We start from the raw sequence: 18,967 nt of genomic DNA, 5'->3' as shown, positions 1-18,967 counted from the left end.
TTGCAAGTTCAGTAAGAGACACATATGTTTGGGGACATGCAAACATATTCAATTGGCAGTCAGTTTGCCTCCTGAAAGGGTGACTGGAGCTGAGAACCTACATTGCCTCTAGTGTAGCATTTCCTTAGGTAGGCTCTGAGTCCTCTGAGAAATGATTCCCTCTGATATTCACAGTGCACATGAATATATCAGAGGCCCTCAGAGTGTTCTGGGAAAGGGAATTGCTTAATTTTGTTAAACCTAGGTTTTCCTAAACTCATGTGACTGCCCTGCCTTTTTTTTCATAAAACATCTATTAATTTAATGAGGACTACACTTTGGGGAATTGTTCTCCTGTTCGTGAAGATATTTCTTAGTTGACAAAGGGAAGCAGAGGAGAAACTGGTTAGATAGTTGATAAATCTGTGAATATTCAATGTGTCCCTATTAAGTCACCAAAACAGACTGAGGAAGCTTCCAAAAACCCAGGCCTGGCCTGGAAACTGAGGACACTAACCCCTCTGCATGGGGAGCGGTGGTGAAGTTTGCTGGGGGCTTTGATCAAAGACAGCTTGCTGTCTTGGCTTTCTCCCTACACTGCATGTGCTAGTGAAGCCTGGCCAATCCCTCCCCTAGTTCTTTTTTATCCTCTACATTGGCTCCTTGTCCTTGCTTTTCCATTTGCATAACTAATGCACACAACACAGAGTTCCCGCAATTTTAAAGACAGCTGGCCAGCACATCTTGGATGCTGATGTCAGGAAACATCTGGAAGAGGGCTAAAGTTACTGAAGGCCCATCTGAGAACAATGGAAACACATTAATATGGAAAATTCAGTATTGGGGTTGGGGGGTGGCTTGTGTAAATAAAAATGGCTGTCAGACCAACTTATAAAAGTCTTGCGCAAAACCTTATTGTAGTTTTGGCACTAATACCACGGAGCAATTGAGTGGTAGTCCAGCTAAAACTGAAATATTGCTGCTTTGTTTTGTATATGTATCACTGAGACCTTCCTTTTCTTAAAAGGTTTCCTAGAAGTCCTGCCAGCTCAGCAAGATATTCTATTCTAAAAAGTTCATAAAATAGTGTTTTACTTTATAATAATATTAAGATGATCTCCCTTCTTTCTCCTTGTTCCCTCTTGCTCAAAATATAAGGATATAAAATAGAGTTCTGATACACCTTTTTCTGCTATCTCTAAGAAGTCAGTGTTGGCCAGGCATGGTGGCCAACCTCCTGTAATCTCAGCACTTTGGGAGGCTGAGGCGGGTGGATCACCTGAGGTCAGGAGTTCGGGACCAGCCTGATCAACATGGAGAAACCCTGTCTCTACTAAAAATACAAAATTAGCCGGGCGTGGTGGTGCATGCCTATAATCCCAGCTACTCGGGAGGCTGAGGCAGGAGAATCTCTTGAACCCAGGAGACGGAGGTTGTGGTGAGCCGAGATCACGCCATTGCACTCCAGCCTGGGCAACAGGAGTGAAATTCTGTCTCAAAAAATAAAAGAAGTCAGTGTTAGTAGAAATACTAAGGTTTACAAATATTTAAATGTGAACATTATAGAATGTGCACGAAAAATTTACATGTGAACATTCTTTTTCTTTTTTTCTTTTTTATTTTTTCTTTTGAGACAGAGTCTCTCTCTGTCACCCAGGCTTGACTGCAGTGGTATATTGTGTGATCTCAGCTCACTGCAGCCTCCACCTCCCAGGCACAAGCAATCCTCCTGCCTCAGCCCCTTATCCTGAGTAGCTGGGACTACAGGCACATGCCACCACACCTGGCTAATTTTTGTATTTTTTGTAGAGACGGAGTTTCAAATATTGCCCAGGCTGGTCTCAAACTCCTGGACTCAAGCAATCCACCCGCCTTGGCCTCCCACAGTGCTGGGATTACAGAAATGAGCCACCGCACTGCAACATTATTTTTCAGGGCTGTGTGGCATAGTAGTTAAATAAACAGATTTTGGAGTTTGAATTCTAGCTCCTCCTCTTACCCAATTATATGAAACTTTGAGAAAATTACTTAATTAGCATAACTTCATTTTGAAAATTATAACTATTTTTGCCAGTTGGAATTGTCATGAGGAGTGCACAAGCTAATATATGTTTTCAGTGCTTAATGATTAGTTGTCCAGGTTAGCTATTCTTACTGTGGTTTTGTTGATATATAAGGATTAAGAAGAAATCCCTGCTATAATCTATTTTGCAATCCAACTCCAAAACACTGAGCATTTGCTTTCAATTTCCTGCCCAACAGATATATGTTTTGGAATCAGGGTTTCTCCCCCTAAGTGTTACTTTAAAGTTCTACCTACTGTTTCACTTTATTTTGTAGAAACTGAAAATGGCATCTTGTCTCTTGTACAACTACAAGTTCATGATTACTATCTCATATTGTTTTCTGACATTTGAATTCTTGGTCTTGATACCTGCTTTTTCCCTCTGAAAGCTTGTTGGATTTTCTCCTATTTCTAAGGGTCTGACATTTCACAATGGTCTATTTTCATCCATTGTCTAGGTATTTTGGGGGCGCTATCAATCTGGCAGCTCACATCCTTTGGTTTTTGAAATCTTGAATTATTGATTTATTATGAGCTCCTCCCCATCAATTTTTCTGTTCTCTTTCTTTCTGGAACTCCTGTTTATTGAAATATTGTACCTTGTAGACTGATCCTCTGATTGTTTTTTCTTTCCTATTGTCCTTTTCTTTGTCTTTTAGCTTTATTTTCCTAGTTTCTCAACTTTATCATATAAACTGTCTAAGTTTTAAAATTCCATTATTATATTTCAAATTTCTAAGAGTTATTTTTTGTTCTTTTTATTTCATCCTGTTCTTATAACATCTTTTTACTTCTCTGAAGATATTATTAGCTTTTTTAAAAGCTTTTATTTCCCTGCATATTCTCAAGACTTTGTTTCCTCTCTAATTTTTGTTTTGTTTTGTTTTTCGTTGTTTGTTGTTGTTGTTTTTTTTTTTTTAACTTTTGTGTGTTCTGTCTCTCTCTTCTTTGGTAGGGGCTTTTTTCAGATGTCTGATAATTCTGGCCCTTCACTTGTATTTTAGAGCTAATGGGCACCTCTGTGCCATGGATGAAGCTTGTTACCTTTTGTCTTTAGAATGATCAGTCTGGGCCATTTCTATGGGAGGGGGATGTCCTTGTCTTTAGGTCTTTTTTCTTGGTCTGAGCAAGTTTTCTAGAAGGTAAATGTCTCCTCTCCTTCCTAGAATGGTTCCTTATGCTGGCTGCCTCTGTTCTGGAGGTTGAATTTGGACTGAGAATAGTGCTTCATTATATAAGCCTTTTTTCAAATCTGTCTGCTTTCAGCATAATATTCCCAGTCTTTATCGTGCCTAGTGTCCTAGCTCTGGCTTAGAGACCCTCTGTTATATCTTCTGCAGCAGTCACTAAACTGCATTTGGGAGGGAGGCTTTTGGGGTAGCCTACCCTGGGAAATGGCTTGCTTCTTGGTTTCCCCTGTGCTGATTTAGAATTTAGCCTTCTTAGTTTGTTACGTGATATGCAAAGTATCCTATTTTTTAGCTCTTAAAATTTTGTTGCTGTCATTATTTTCTCCCCCTTTTAATTTGTTAAAATCCTTTTATTTTTAATTTAATAGAGGTTTGGGGGTAAACACATTTGTTCAATCAGCCATCTTTAATCAGCATTTTTAAAAAGATATTCTTGGCCAGGCATGGTGGCTCATGCCTGTGATCTCAGCATTTTGGGAGGCTGAGGTGGGAGGATTGCTTGAGCTCAGAAGTTCAAGGCTGCAATGAGCCATGATCATGCCACTGCACTCCAGCCTTGGTGACAGAAGGAAAGCCCATCTCAGAGGTTTATCAGTCCATTCTTGTGTTGCTATAAAGGAATACTCAAGCTTGGTGATTTATAAGGTAAAGAGGTTTATTTTGGCTCATGGTTCCACAGGCTGGATGAGAAGCATGCGCCAGCATCTGCTTCTGATGGGGACTCAGGAAGCTTCCAATCATGGCAGAAGGTGAAGGGGAGCTGATGTGTCACATGGCAAAGAGGGAGCAAAAGAGACAGTGAGGAATTGCTAGGCTTGTTTTAAACAACCAGATCTCTTGTGAACTCATAGAGTGAGAACTCACTCATTATGTCGAGGACAGCACCAACCCTCTTATGAAGGATCCACCCCCATGACGCAAACACCTCCCAAGAGGCCCACCTCCAACACTGGAGGTCACATTTCAACATGAGACTTGGAGGGTATAAACATCCAAACCAAAATGAGGGTGGGGAGGAGATATTCTTAATGTAATACTTTTTTTCTGAAAAATTAGATTTTCTGTGCCAGAATCCCAAATCTAAGAAATCTAAGATAAAGTAATGTGCCTGAGAATAGCTTTGTAAATGTGTTCATTTAATTTCTAACTGGGTTTTAATATTTTGGCCGTCATAACTGTTGTGTGGTAAATATTTCTGTTTGTTGGCAAAACCCTTTTGGGTTGTTCATCACCTTTTATGTCATTATAGATGTAAACAACATGTGTGCTCCAGATGGACTCTGAAATCCAGGCTCCCACTTTATGACACACTCCTCTACAACACCAGAGACTCCCAAACACAAGGCCTTATATTGACTCATTTCAGCTCACATCCTGGCGACTCTCAAGAGAGAAACCTCAGAGTGACTAAAATCTCCATAATGAGAAGACATGTACATTCAGTATCTATTTTGGTAGGAGACTTTATATTCAGCCTTCTTTCTGTAGAGTAAGACGTGGAGATTTGGACTTAGGGTGGGCTGTATGTGGGGTGGAGAGTAACAAGATAAGCAAGGAATTAACTCCATAGTAAATGTTAACACTTTCTACATCTTTAACCCCAATTTTATGTGCCAAAGAAAGAATCCCCACAACTGATACCTTCCTGGCAGAACTGACTTCAGGAAAGGCAACTCAGGCAGATATTCGAGTAGGCCTAGACTGTGTGGGCCTGTGGCCAGTCTCACAACAAAACAGAATCAACAGCCTTGCAGTCTCAGAAATGCAGTGGTCATTCTGGTAAGCAATAGTCAAAACTAAAATTTCTTAAACTGATTTTTTGCCTCTATGGTCAAAGGAGAACTGATCCTACTTGTTATTTCATAGATGGAAAAATCCATTTGCCAATCAGGATGTGTCTGATACTCCTTTTTTTTTTGGTTTCAAGAGTAAAGTCAAGAAAAGCTGCTTTTTGAAAGTCAAAGAATCACAGTAGTTGTTATTTCTTAGTGCTTACTATTTGCTACATGCTTCACATACGTGGTCTCATTTAATCTTCCCAAACAATTTTGCCATAATATTATTACAACCATGTTGAATCTGAAAATAATAATAATAATAATAATAATAATAAGGCTTAGAGAGGTTGAGTAACTTACCTAAGGTTACCAAATTAGTAAAGACTGAACTGGGATTTAAAAGCAAGATTTGTAGAATTTTTCTCCAAAACCCAGAATCTCTGCATTGAGCCAGCCTGCCATTCTGAGACAGACAACATTCATAACACTTGCATATTGTTTGTACAGTGTTCATTGTTTAATGTAGGGCACATTTCATACATACCAAGAGGAATCATATGCTTATTCTTGCTAGTATATGGCAAACTTTTCCATTCTATAATACAAATATGACTGATGACTGCTGTCATCAGCCCAGCAAATCACCTTTCATCACAGGTACACAGATGACAAATACAGAGTACGGAAGGAGTCAGCTGAAGGTGCTGCTTGCCTGGGCTGTCTTTTTTTTTTTTTTGTTACATCTGCCACTTCATTTATTTTATTTGCAGGAGGAGTTGAAACCAATTTTAAGGGAGATTTTCATTTTCCCCCTAAACATGAATCATTCAAGTAAAACCAACTTAACTATAGAAATGTAGCAAAGTAAGGGGAAAGCAGCACAACAACCCAAGAGGCAAAGGCTGGGGGGAAGGGGTGGGTGCAGTCTGCGTATAACATATGCACAAATGCCTTATGATTCCCCTGCTCAGGACCGCCTCCCCAGAAGGCAAGCACAAGGGCCCATTTTAAGAGGATGTTTCCCCCCAAACATCTGAGAGCGCTTCAACTTAAACAGCTTACGGTTAAAAAGACAAAAAAGAAAGCAAAACTAACCAAAGAAACTCCAAAAAACCCCATGAACCACCCAGCCATAACTGCCTTCCTTAATCGATCATAGGAGTTTCATTTTATAAAAAGATAAATAAAAAACATTGAAAAAAATATTTTATCATGTTATATTTGTAAAGATAATAGAATTCATACGTTTCTTAGAAAACAGACCAGACACTGCCCTCCAGTTTCCACCCCATTGCTGGGAGGATCAGCAGGACTAGAAAGTTTGGGATACTGGAGCTGCCGGTGGAGAATGGGAAGTCCAGCCCAGAAGAAATTAGGAAATAGGGCTCAGGGGCACGTGAGGTGTGGTTAGGAGCAACTCCACGTGATACATGGCTGCACAGAAAAGGGGAACACAGGTGATCGGAAAGGCCTTAAACTCCTCCTTGACATACAAAACCGATTTTCACAAAGATCCAGGCAGTTTGGTCCCAAACTAAGGTGAACACTTCAAAGTTTATTCACATGCTTTACTTTCTCTTTTAAGAATCATCGTTTCCCAAATTAAATTAGATTTAAATTATAATGTTACTACATATGCCTAAAAAAAGAAAAGAAAAAAAAAGAAAGGCTTTTAAAATCAGGACAGGGGAGAAGAGATTGAAAATCATCAAATTAGTCCTCTTAGCTCCAAATGAAATGAAATTAAGAACAAAAACTCTGGGCCTACCGCACCGATTGCAGCTGCAGCTTGCAATGGCACCTTGGGCTGTCATTTTATCCAAAACAATCACTGCTCCGTAGAAAGACTGCAAAGACTTGGAGTCCTGTGTTTCAGTCCTGGTGTTGGTGCTAACCAGTTGTATTGGGCTTGTTACCTACGAAGAAAACTCACCTTTGTTAAATGCCCAGTGTGTATTGGGCACGGCTTTCTTTTTTAATTTATGTGGTTTTCTTTAGAAGCCCATACGTGTCCAAGGGTTATGAAGGATGCTAAAGTTAGACTCTTCCACCCATGGCCCCCAGCCTGTGATCCCATTCCCAGTGTTATCTATTGTTACCAATTTTGCATAATACTTCTAGAGTACCAGGAACTTTAAATATATTATGTCAGTTAAGTTTCCTGGTTATTGCTCCAATTTAATTTAATTTAATTTAATTTAATTTTTTTGTCTTTTTCAGGATTTAGGGCAGGAAAGGCAGGCTAGTGTATGTACTCAGTCTGCATATTTGCTCCAATTTATAACCCTATTTTACAGTTTCTGAAATTGAGCTTAGTAGCTACTTGCAAATAACTAATTAGTAGTGGAGCTAAGATTAATTCACCCTTTCTGTACTCACTGAATAACTATAATGGTACCATGCTAGGCTTTGAGGATGGGATCATGAGGCACATAGATCCTTCCTGTCAGTCTAGTGGAGGGGTTTTCTTTTTTTTATTAATTTTTTTTCTTTAATTAGGGATAGGATCTCACTGTGTTGCCCAAGGCTGGTCTTGAACTCCTGGGCTCAAGCAGTCTTCCCACCTCAGCCTCCCAAAGTGCTGGGATTACAGGCCTAAGCCACCTTGCTCAGCCAAGTGAAGAAGTTTTAAAAAGTAAATAGATAAGCTACTGCTTCCACTGTCACCATGTGATGTGCCTGCTCCCACTTTGCCTTCTGCCATAACCAAAAGTTCCTGAAGCCCTCACCAGAAGCTGAATAGATGTTGGTGCTACGCTTGTATAGTCAGCAGAACCGTGAGCCAGTTAAACCTCTGTTCTTTATAAATTGCCCAGTCTCTGGTATACCTTTATAGTAATGCGAAAGTGGACTGATACAGAAAATTGGTACTGATGAGTGGGGTGTAGCTATAAAGATATTTGAAGATGTAGAAATGGCTTTGGAACTGGGTCACAGGCAGAGGTTGGAAGAGTTTGGAGGGCTCAGAAGAAGACAGGAAGATGAGAGAAGGTTTGGAACTGCTTCAAGGCTGGTTAAATGGTTGTGACCAAAATGCTGATAGAGATATTGACAGTAAAGTCCAGGCTGATCAGGTCTCAGATGGAAATGGGGAAACTGTTGGGAACTGCAGTACAGGTTACTCATGTTATGCCCTAACAAAGAGCTTGGCTTTATTGTGTTCATGCCCTAGGGGTCTGTGGGAGTTTGAACTTAAGAGTGATGACTGGCTGAGCACGGTGGCTCATGCCTGTAATCCCAGCACTTTGGGAGGTCAAGGCAGGCAGATAACCTGAGGTTGGGAGTTCAAGACCAGCCTGACCAACATGGAGAAACCCCATCTCTACTAAAAATACAAAATTAGCCGGGCATGGTGACACATGCCTATAATCCCAGCTACTTGGGAAGCTGAGGCAGGAGAATCACTTGAACTGGGGAGGCAGAGGTTGCGGTGAACCAAGATCACACCATTGCACTCCAGCCTGGGCAACAAGAGCGAAACTCCATCTCAAAAAAAAAAAAAAAAAAGAATGATGACCTAGAATATCTGGCAGAAGAAATTTCTAAGCAACAAAGCATTCAAGATGTGCCCTGGCTGCTTCTAATCACCCACAATCAGATGCAGGAGCAAAGAAATGACTTAAAGTTGGAACTTACATTTAAAAGGGAAGCAGACTGTAAAAGTTTGGAAAATTTGTAGCCTTGCCATGTGGCAGAGAAAGAAAAACACTTTCAGGAGAGAAACACAAGCAGGCTGCAGAATAACCACTTGCTAGAGAGATTAGCATGACTAAATGGGAGCCAAGTGCTAACAGCCAAGACAATGGGAAAAAGGCCTCAAAGGTGTTTCAGGGATCTTCTAGGAAGTCCCTCCCATCACAGGCTCAGAGGCTTAGGAGGAAATAATAGTTTCAGGGGCCAGATCCAGGACATCACTGCTCTGTGGAACCTCAGGAACACTGCTCCCCACATCCTGGCTGTTCTGGCTCCAGCCTTGGCTCAAAGGGGCCCAGGTACAACTTGTGCTGCAGTTCTAGAGGGTATAATCCATAAGTCTTGGCAGTTTCCATGTGGTGTTAATTCTGCAGGTGCTCAGAATGCAAGTGTGAAGAAGGCTTGATGGTTTCCTCCTAGATTCTGGATATATGGAAAAGCCTGGGTGTCCAGGCAGAAGCCTGCCACAGGGGTGGAGCCCCTAGAGAGAAACTCTACTAAGGCAATGCCTAGGGGAGATGTGGATTCCAGTCCCCACCACAGTGTCCCCACCAGGGCACTGCCTCATGGAGCTGTTGGTGGGGGCCCACTGTATTAGTCTGTTCTCACACTGCTAATAAAGACATGCCTGAAAATGGGTAATTTATAAAGGAAAGAGGTTTAATTGACTCACAGTTCAACATGGCTGGGGAGTCCTCAGGAAACTTACAATCATGGCAGAAGTGAAACAGGCACGTCTTACATGGTGGCAGGTGAGAGAAGTGAAAACCAAGTGAAGGAGGAAGCCCCTTAGAAAACTATCAGATCTCGTGAGAACTCACTCACTATCACGAGAACAGTATGGGGGGAACTGCCCTCATGATTCAATTATCTTCACCTAGGCCTGCCCTTGACACATGGGGATTATTACAATTCAAGATGAGATTTGGGTGGGGACACAGAGCCAAACCACATCACCCACCATCCTCCATATTCCAGAATGATAGATTCACTGGCAGCTTGCACCTTCTTCCTGGAAAACATGCAAGTACTCAACTCCAACCTGTGAGAGCAATCACATGGGCTGCATCCTGCAAAGCCATGTGGGCAAGGCTGCTCAAGGCCTTGGAAGCCTATCCTTCACATCAGGATGCAGGACTTGGAATCAAGGATTATGTTGGAACTTTAAGATTTAATGCCTGCCCTCCTGGGTTCCAGACCTGCATGGGCCTATTACCCCTTTCCTTTGGCCAACTCCTCCCTTTTGGAATAGGAATGTTTACCCAATGCCTGTACTACCACTGTATCTTTGAATTCAATAACTTGTTTTTTTATTTTACAGGTTTATAGATAGAAGGAACTTGGCCTTGAGTTTCAGATGAGACTTTGGACTTTTGGACTTTTGAGTTAAGGCTGGAACAAGTTAAGACTTTAGGGGACTATTACAAAGGCATGATTGTATTTTGAAATGTGAGAAGGACATGAGATTTGGGGGTGCAGTGGCAGAATAGTATAGTTTGGATGTTTGTCCCTTCCAAATCTTATGTTGTAATGTAATCTCCGGTGTTGGTGGTGGGACCTGGTGGGAGGAGGTTGGATCATGGGGCTTTGGGTAGTGTGGACATATTAACAATATTGATTCTTCCAGTCCATGAACATGGAATATATTTCCATTTATTTGTGTCCTTTTCAATTTTTTTCATCAATGTTTTATAGTTGTCATGATCCCTCGTGAATGGCTTAGCATCATCCCCTGGGTGATGAGTGAGTTCTCACTCTGGTATTTTACATGAGATCTGTTTGTTTAAAAGACTGTGGCACCTTTCCCCTCTCTCTTGCTCCCACTCTTGCCACATGACATGCCTGCTCCCACTTACCTTCTGCTATGATTATAAGCTTCCTGAGGCCCTCACCAGAAGCTGAGCAGATGTTGGTGCCATGCTTGTACAGCCTGTTGAATTGTGAGCCAATTAAACCTCTTTTATTTATAAATTCCCCAGCCTTAGGTATTCCTTTATAGCAATATAAAAATAAACTAAAACATCTATCATGTGCTGTGGTTCTTACTGGAGCACCATCAACTCAACTTGTAGCACTGAGGAAAGCTGTTAGAAAAAGTGACCTCCGTGCTAAGACATCAGGAATGAGCTAGGAGTTAGCCAGGTGAAGGGGAAAATGTTAGAGGATGGACAGAAGAGTAATCTTAAGCCTGATGTTTTGGGAGGCTTTCAGGGTGACTGGAACTGTTGTGGGAGTGTGCCCAAGGTGACTGGGGAGGGGTAAACTGAAGACTGAGTAGTTCAGATATTGTAAAGCCTGTGAGGATTTAGTAGGGGAGTGATGTGATCACATTCTAACTATGGGATGGAGAATGAATTCAAAAACGCCATGCTCGTTGAGAGGCTGCCACAGGGGAGAACCCATAGCAGCCTGAGTCAAGGTCAATGCTGAGGTATTTGGGAAGCAGAAGCAAAAGACCTTCAGGGACTGGTATGCAGCAATGATCATGAGAATAGATTCTGTAACCACCAGGAATCTTTGCTCTGTTGTTTCCTGATAGCAGAACCATTGGACATTGAATTGTTTGTGATATTGTACAGGGCATTGTTATAACCTTTTTAAATATCACTTTTCTAATTTGCAAGATGGGAGTAAAAATGGGGTCAAAATGGGGATACTATTAGTACTTACCTTGTAAGGTCATCATAAGAACTAAAAGAGAATTCCTGTAAAGGTTGGTTGTAGTGTAGTTCCCACATATATTAAGCATTTAGGAAATCTCAAAGCAAAGGGAGGAGCCAAGCATGTCTTTCCAGGTACAACCTTGGGCATCTAAGTGCTTGGTGTTGCCAGTCTCTGTGTTGAGGAACACAGAAAAGGGACAGATTTGGAGGAAGGTGATAAATTCGGCCTGCATTTGTTTGAGTCCAAAGCCCAAATCTCTTCACTACACCAGTTTCCTTAAAGACACTGCCACTTCCTATCTGTGTGATTTTTTTTTTTTTTTTTTTTTTTGAGACAGAGTCTCGCTCTGTCGCCCAGGCTGGAGTGCAGTGGCGTGATCTCGGCTCACTGCAAGCTCCACCTCCTGGGTTCACGCCATTCTCCTGCCTCAGCCTCCCGAGTAGCTGGGACTACAGGCGCCCACCACCACACCCGGCTAATTTTTTGTATTTTTTGGTAGAGACGGGATTTCACCATGTTAGCCAGGATAGTCTCAATCTCCTGACCTCATGATCCACCCGCCTCGGCCTCCCAAAGTGCTGGGATTACAGGCATGAGCCACTGCGTCCGGCCTCCTGTGTGATCTTTTTTAAATATATATATATATATTTTTTTCTTTTCTTTTCTTGTTTTTTTTTTTTTTGAGATGGAGCCTTGCTCTGTCGCCCAGGCTGGAGTGCAGTGGTATGATCTCGGCTCACTGCAGCCTCTGCCTCCTGAGTTCAAGCAATTCTCCTGCCCCAGCCTCCCAGGTACCTGGGATTACAGGCGCCTGCCATCATGCCCAGAGAATTTTTGTATTTTTAGTAGAGATGGGGTTTCACCATGTTGGCCAGGCTGATCTCAAACTCCTGACCTCAAGTGATTCGCCTGCCTTGGCCTCCCAAAGTGCTGTGATTACAGGTGTAAGCCACTGCGCCCATCCCTTTAATAATTTTTTTATTTTTAATTTTTATGAGTACATAGTAGGTACATATATTTATGAAGTGGGTGAAATATTTTCATACAGGCATACAATGAACAATAATCCCATCAGGGTAAATGGGGTATCATCACCTCAAGCTTTTATCATTTCTCTGTGATATAAACATTCAGATTATATTCTTATTTTAAAATGTACAATAAATTATTGTTGGCTGTAGTCACCCTGTTGTGCTGTCAAATACTAGATCTTATTCTTTCTATCTACCTATATTTTTGTATGTATTAACCATCCCCACTTGCATCCACCTTCACTATCTTTCCCAGCCTCTGGTAATCATCATTCTACACTCTATCTCCATGCATTCAAGTGTTTTAATTTTTACCTTTCACAAATGATTGAGAACATGCAAAGTTTGTCCTTCTGTGCCTGGCTTACTTCACTTACCATAATGTGTTCCAATTCCATCTGTGTTGCAAATGACAGGATCTTATTCTTTTTATGGCTGAACAGTACTCTATTGTGTATGTGTACCATATTTTCTCTATCCATTCATCTACTGATGAACACTTAGGTTGATTCCAAATCTTGGCTATTATGAATAGTGCTGCAGTGAACATGGAGTGCAGACATCTCTTCGATATAATGATTTTCTTTATTTTGCGTGTATACCTAGCAGTGGGATTGCTGGATCATATGGTAGTTTTTTAGTTTTTTGAGACACCACCATACTGTTCTGCATAATTGCTGTATTAATTTACATTCTCACCAACAGTGTATGAGGGTTCTCGTTTCTCTGCATCCTTGCATTATTGCCTGTCTTTTGGATACAAGCCACTTTAACTGGGGTCAGATGATATCCCATTTTGTTTTGGTTTGCATTTCTCTGATGATCAATAATGTTGAACACCTTTTCAGGCACCTGCTTGCCATTTGTATGTCTTCTTTTGAGAAATGTCTGTTTAGATATTTTGCCCATTTCAATTGGATTATTATTTTATTTTTCCCCATTGAGTTATGTATCTTCTATTTATTAATCCCTTGTTTTTTTGTTGTTGTTTGTTTGTTTTGTTTTTGAGACAGAGTCTTGCTCTTGCTCTTGCTCTGTCGCCCAGGCTGGAGTGCAGTGATGCGATCTCGGCTCACTGCAACCTCTGCCTCCCGGGTTCAAGCAATTCTCCTTCCTCAGCCTCCTGAGTAGCTGAGATTACAGGCGCCTGCCACCATGCCCAGCTAATTTTTTTGTATTTTTAGTAGAGACGGGGTTTCCCCATGTTGGTCAGGCTGGTCTCGAACCCCTGACCTCGTGATCCACCTGCCTCGGCCTCCCAAAGTGCTGGGATTATAGGCGTGAGCCACCGCGCCCAGCCTATTAATCCCTTGTTAGATGGATGGTGTGCAAATATTTTCTCCCACTTCGCTTTGTCTTTTCACTTCATTGATAATATCCTTTGCTGTCCAAAAGCTTTTTAACTTGATTTGATTCAATTTGTCCATTTTTGCTTTGGTTGCTTGGCCCAGACCAATGTTCTGGAGAGTTTCTCCTATGTTTTCTTTTAGTTGTTTTATAGTTTCAGGTCTTATATTTAAGTCTTTAATCCATTTATATTTGATTTTTATATATCAAGATATACAAAATACAAGATATTTTGTATATCAAGAGATAGTAATCTAGTTTTATTATTCCACAGATGGATATCCAGTTTTCCCATCATTATTTGTTGAAGAGACTGTCCTTTCCCCAGTGTATGTTCTTGGTACCTTTGTTGAAAATGAATTCACTGTAGATGTATAGATTGATTTCTGGGTTCTCTATTCTGGGTTCTCTATTCTGTCCCATTGGTCTGTGTTTCTGTTTTATGCCAGTACCTTGCTGTTTCAGTTACTATAGCTCTGTGATATAATTTGAAGTCAAGTAATGTGATTCCTCCAGTTTTGTTCTTTTTGCTCAAAATGGCTATGACTATTCTAGGTCTTTGGTGGTTCCATATACATTTTAGGATTTTTTTTTCTGTTTATGTGAAGAATGTCATTGGTATTTTGATAAAGCTTTCATTAAATCTGTAGATTGCTTTGCGTAGTGTAGGCATATTAACAATACTGATTCTTCCAATCCATGAACATGGAATATATTTCCATTTATTTGTGTCCTTTTCAACTTTTTTCATCAATGTTTTATAGTTGTCATGGTATAGATCACCACTTCTTTCGTTAAGCTTATTTCCAGGTATCTAATTTTATTTATAGTTATTGTACATGGGATATTATCTTGATTTCTTTTTCAGATTGTTTGCTGTTGGCATATAGAAATGCTACTGATTTTTGTATGTTGGCTTTGTATCCTGCAACTTTATGAAATTTGTTTATTAGTTCTAATTGTTTTTTGGGGGAGTCTTTAGGTTTTTCCAAATATAAGATCATATCATCTGCAAACAAGGATAATTTGACTTCTTCTTTTCCAATTTGTATGCCCTTTATGTTTTTCTCTTTTATGATTGCTCTAGCTAGAACTTCCAGTAGTATGTTGAATAACAGTGGTGAAAGTGGAGCCATGCACGGTGGCTTACACCTGTAATCCCAGCACTTTGGGAGGACTAGGTGGGTGGATTACCTGAGGTCAGGAGTTCACGACCAGCCTGGCCAACATGGTAAAAACCCATCTCTACTAAAAAATACAAAAATTAGCTGTGTGCAGTGGCCGGCACCTGTAATCCCAGCTACTTGGGAGGCTGAGGCAGGAAAATCGCTTGAACCTGAGAGGCAGAGGTTGCAGTGAGCTGAGATCGCACCATTGCACTCCAGCCTGGGCGACAAGAATGAAACTCCGTCTCAAACAAACAAACAAACAAACAAACAAACAAACAGTGGTGAAAGTGGGCATCCTTGTTGTATTCCCAATCTTAGAGGAAAGGCTTTCAGTTTTTTCCCATTAAGTGTGACACTAACTGTGGGTCTGTCATATATGGCTTTTATCGTGTTGAGGTATATTCCTCAACACATTACCCAGTTTGTTGAGGGTTTTCATCATGAAGGGATATTGAATTTTATCAAATAGTATTTCAAGATTAATTGAAATGATCAGATGGTTTTTATCTTCTGTTGATATGATGTATCACATTCTTTGATTTGCATATGTTGAATCATTCTTGCATCCTTGAGATAAATTCCACTTGGTCATGGTGAATTATTTTTTAATGTGTTGTTGAATTCAGTTTGCTAGTATTTTGTTAAGGATTTTTGCATCAATGTTCATCAGAGATATTGGCCTATAGTGTTCTTTTTTCTTTTTGTTCCTTTTTCCTTTTCTTTCTCTCTTTTTTTTTTTAATGTGTCTTTGTCTGGTGTTGGTATCAGGGTAATACTGACTTCATAGAATGAGTTTGGAAGAATTCACTCCTCCTCTATTTTTTGGAATAGTGTGAGTAGCATTAGTATTAGCTTTTCTTTTTAAATGATTTTTTTTTTTGAGACGGAGTCTCGCTCTGTCACCCAGGCTGGAGTGCAGTGGCGTGATCTCGGCTCACTGCAAGCTCTGCCTCCCAGGTTCACGCCATTCTCCTGCCTCAGCCTCCCGAGGAGCTGGGACTACAGGCGCCTGCCACCACGCCCGGCTAATTTTTTGTATTTTTAGTAGAGACGGGGTTTCACCGTGTTGGCCAGGATGGTCTCGATCTCCTGACCTCGTGATCCACCCACCTCGGCCTCCCAAAGTGCTGGGATTACAGACATGAGCCACCGCGCCCGGCCTTCTTTTTAAATGTTTTGTAAAAATTAGCAGCGAAGCCATAGAGTCCCAGGTTTTTTTTTGCTGGCATACTTTTTATTATAGCTTTGATCTCATTGTTTTGGTCTCTTCAGGTTTTGAATCTCTTTGTGGTTCCATCTTGGTAGGTTGTGTGTTTCTAGGAATTTATTCATTTCTTCTAGGTTTTCCAATTTATTGGCATATAGTTGCTCATAGTAGTCTCTAATGATCTTTTGAACTTCTGTGGTATCAGTTATAATGTCTCCTTTTTCATCTCTGATTTTATTTATCTGAGTCTTCTTTCTTTTTTTCCTAGTCTGGCTAAAGGTTTGTTGATTTTATCTTTTCAAAAAAAAAAGAAATTTTCATTTTATTGTTCCTTTGTATTGTTTTTTAAATTTCATTTTTGTTTATTTCTGCTCTGATCTTTATTATTTATTCTACTAATTTTGGGTTTGGTTTGCTCTTGCCTTTCTGGTTTTTTAAGATGCATCATTAAGTTGTTTATTTGAAGTTTTTCCTCTTTCTTGATGTAGGCATTTATTGCTATAAACTTTCCTCTTACTACTGCTTTTGCTGTATCCCATAGGTTTTGGTATGTTGTGTTTTTATTTTTATTTGTTTCAAGAAATTTTTTCTTTTAAAAAAAAATTTTTAAATTTTAAATTTTTTCTCAATCAATGCCATGCCAGAATTTCAAGAAATCTTTAAAGTTGTTTCTTGATTTCTTCATTGATTCACTGGTCATTCAGGAGCATTGTTTAATTTCCATGTGTTTATATAGTTTTCAAAGTTCCTTATGTTATTGATTTCTCGTTTTATTCCATTGTGAACAGAGAAAATACTTAAAATGATTGCAGTGTTTTCATAGCCTAATAAATGGTCTGTTCTTGAGAATGATCCATGTCTTGAGGAGAAGAATGTTAATTCTGTAGCCATTGGATGAAATGTTTTGTAAACATCTACTAGGTCCATTTGGTGTATAGTGCAGATTAAGTCTGATGTTTCTTTGTTGATTTGCTGTCTGGATGATCTGTGCAATGCTAAAAGCAGGGTGCTAAAGTCTCTAGCTATTATTATATTAGGATCTATCTCTATCTTTAGCTCTAATAATATTTGCTTTATATATCTGGATGCTCCATTGTTGAGTGCATGTATATATTTATAATTGTTGTATTATCTTGCTGAATTGATGCCTTTATCATTATATAATGACCTTCTTTGCCTATTTTTATAGTTTTTGACTTGAAATCTATTTTGTCTAAGTATAGCTACTCCTGCTTTTTTTCATTTCCATTTTCATGGAATGTCTTTTTCCATCCCTTTATTTTTAGTCTATGTGTGTCTTTATAGGTAAAGTGTGTTTTGTGTAGGTAACAGATAATTGGGTCTTGTTTTTATATCCATTCAGCCACTCTATGTCTTTTGATTGGAGAGTTTAGTTCATTTACAGTCAATGTTATCGTTGGTAAGTGGGGACTTACTCCTGCCAGTTTGTTGTTTTTTGGTTTTATCTCCCTTCCTTCCTTCTTTTCTGTCTTCCTTTTTGTGAAAATGATTTTCTCTGGTAGTATGTTTTAATTTCTTGCTTTTTATTTTTTGCATATCTGTTGTGGGTTTTTTAATTCAAGGTTACCATGAGGCTTGCAAATAATGTCTTATAACCCGTTATTTAAAACTGGTAACTTAACTCTGATTGCAAAAACAAAGAAACTAACAAGCCAAGGGAAAACTAATAAAAACTATACTTTTACTTCGTCCCTGCCTCTTACTTTTAACTCCTTGTGGTTTCTGTTTCTATCTTATTATACTATCTATATCTTAAAAGTTATTGTAGTTGTTATTTTTGATAGGTTCATCTCTTTAGTATTCCTACTCAAGATATGAGTAGTTTATACACCACAATTGTAGTGTTATAGTATTCTGTATTTGTCTGTGTACTCACTATTACCAGTGAGTTTTGTATGTTCAGATGATTTCTTATTGCTCATTAATTCCCTTTAGCATTTCTTATAGGACAGATCTGTTATTGACAAAATCCCTCAGCTTTCATTTATCTGGGAAAGTCTTTATTTCTCCTTCATGTTTGAAGGATATTTCCACAGGATATAGTTTTCTAAGATAAACATTTTTTTCTTTCAGTACTTTAAATATGTCATGCCATTGTTTCCCGGCCTGCAAGGTTCCCACTGGAACTCCTTTATGTGTTACTTGTTTCTTTTCTTTTGCTGCTTTTAGGATCCTTTCTTTATCCTTGACCTCTGGGAGTTTGATTATTAAATGTCTTGATATGGTCTTATTTGGGTTATTCTTTTTTTTTTTCTGTCTTCTTTGCTTTTTTTTTTTTTTTTTTTTTGAGATAGGTTCTCACTCTGTCACCCAGGTTGGAGTGCAGTGGCATGATCTCAGCTCACTGCAACCTCCACCTCCTGGGCTCAAGCAATCTTCCTGCCTCAGCCTCCCAAGTAGCTGGGACTACAGGTGCAAACCACCATGCCCCACTAATTTTTGTGGTTTTGGAGAGATGGGGTTTCACCATGTTGCCGAGGCTAGTCTTGAACTCCTGAGCTCAAGTGATCCACCCACCTCAGCCTCTCAAAGAGCTAGGATTATAGGCATGAGCCACCACTCCAAGCATGCCCATGTATTTTCAAATAGCCTGTCTTGAAGCTCACTAATACTTTCTTCTGTTTAAGCCATTCTGCTGTAGAGAGACTCTGATGCATTCTTCAGTTTCTCAACTGAATTTTTCAGCTCCAGAATTTCTCCTTGATTTTTAAAATTTATTTCAATTTCTGTTAAACTTATCTAATAGGATTTTGAATTCCTTTTCTGTGTTACCTTGAAGTTCATTGAGCTTCCTCAAAACAGCTATTTTGAATTCTGTCTCTA

General features: G+C 39.7%; 1 protein-coding gene across 5 annotated transcripts in view; it reads left to right on the top strand.

Annotated features, from left to right (window-relative positions):
• Nucleotides 1–18,967, top strand: part of WWTR1 (WW domain containing transcription regulator 1) — a 207,554-nt gene that overhangs the window by 16,977 nt on the left and 171,610 nt on the right. For 2 of the 5 annotated variants that reach the window (XM_047447931.1, XM_047447932.1), the window contains 2 exons: nucleotides 4,484–4,688; nucleotides 4,854–5,013. The exons of 1 other annotated variant lie outside the window; for it this stretch is intronic. The gene's annotated coding sequence lies outside the window, so the exon portion shown is untranslated. Of the gene's footprint in view, nucleotides 1–4,483; nucleotides 4,689–4,853; nucleotides 5,014–18,967 lie in introns of those variants that run through there. 2 more of the 5 variants (XM_047447933.1, NM_001168278.3) reach the window with 2 other exon arrangements.

This window comes from Homo sapiens, chromosome 3 (genome assembly GCF_000001405.40).
Source record: "Homo sapiens chromosome 3, GRCh38.p14 Primary Assembly".
Lineage (NCBI taxonomy): Eukaryota > Metazoa > Chordata > Mammalia > Primates > Hominidae > Homo > Homo sapiens.
This window is presented reverse-complemented; position numbering and strand designations above follow the sequence as displayed.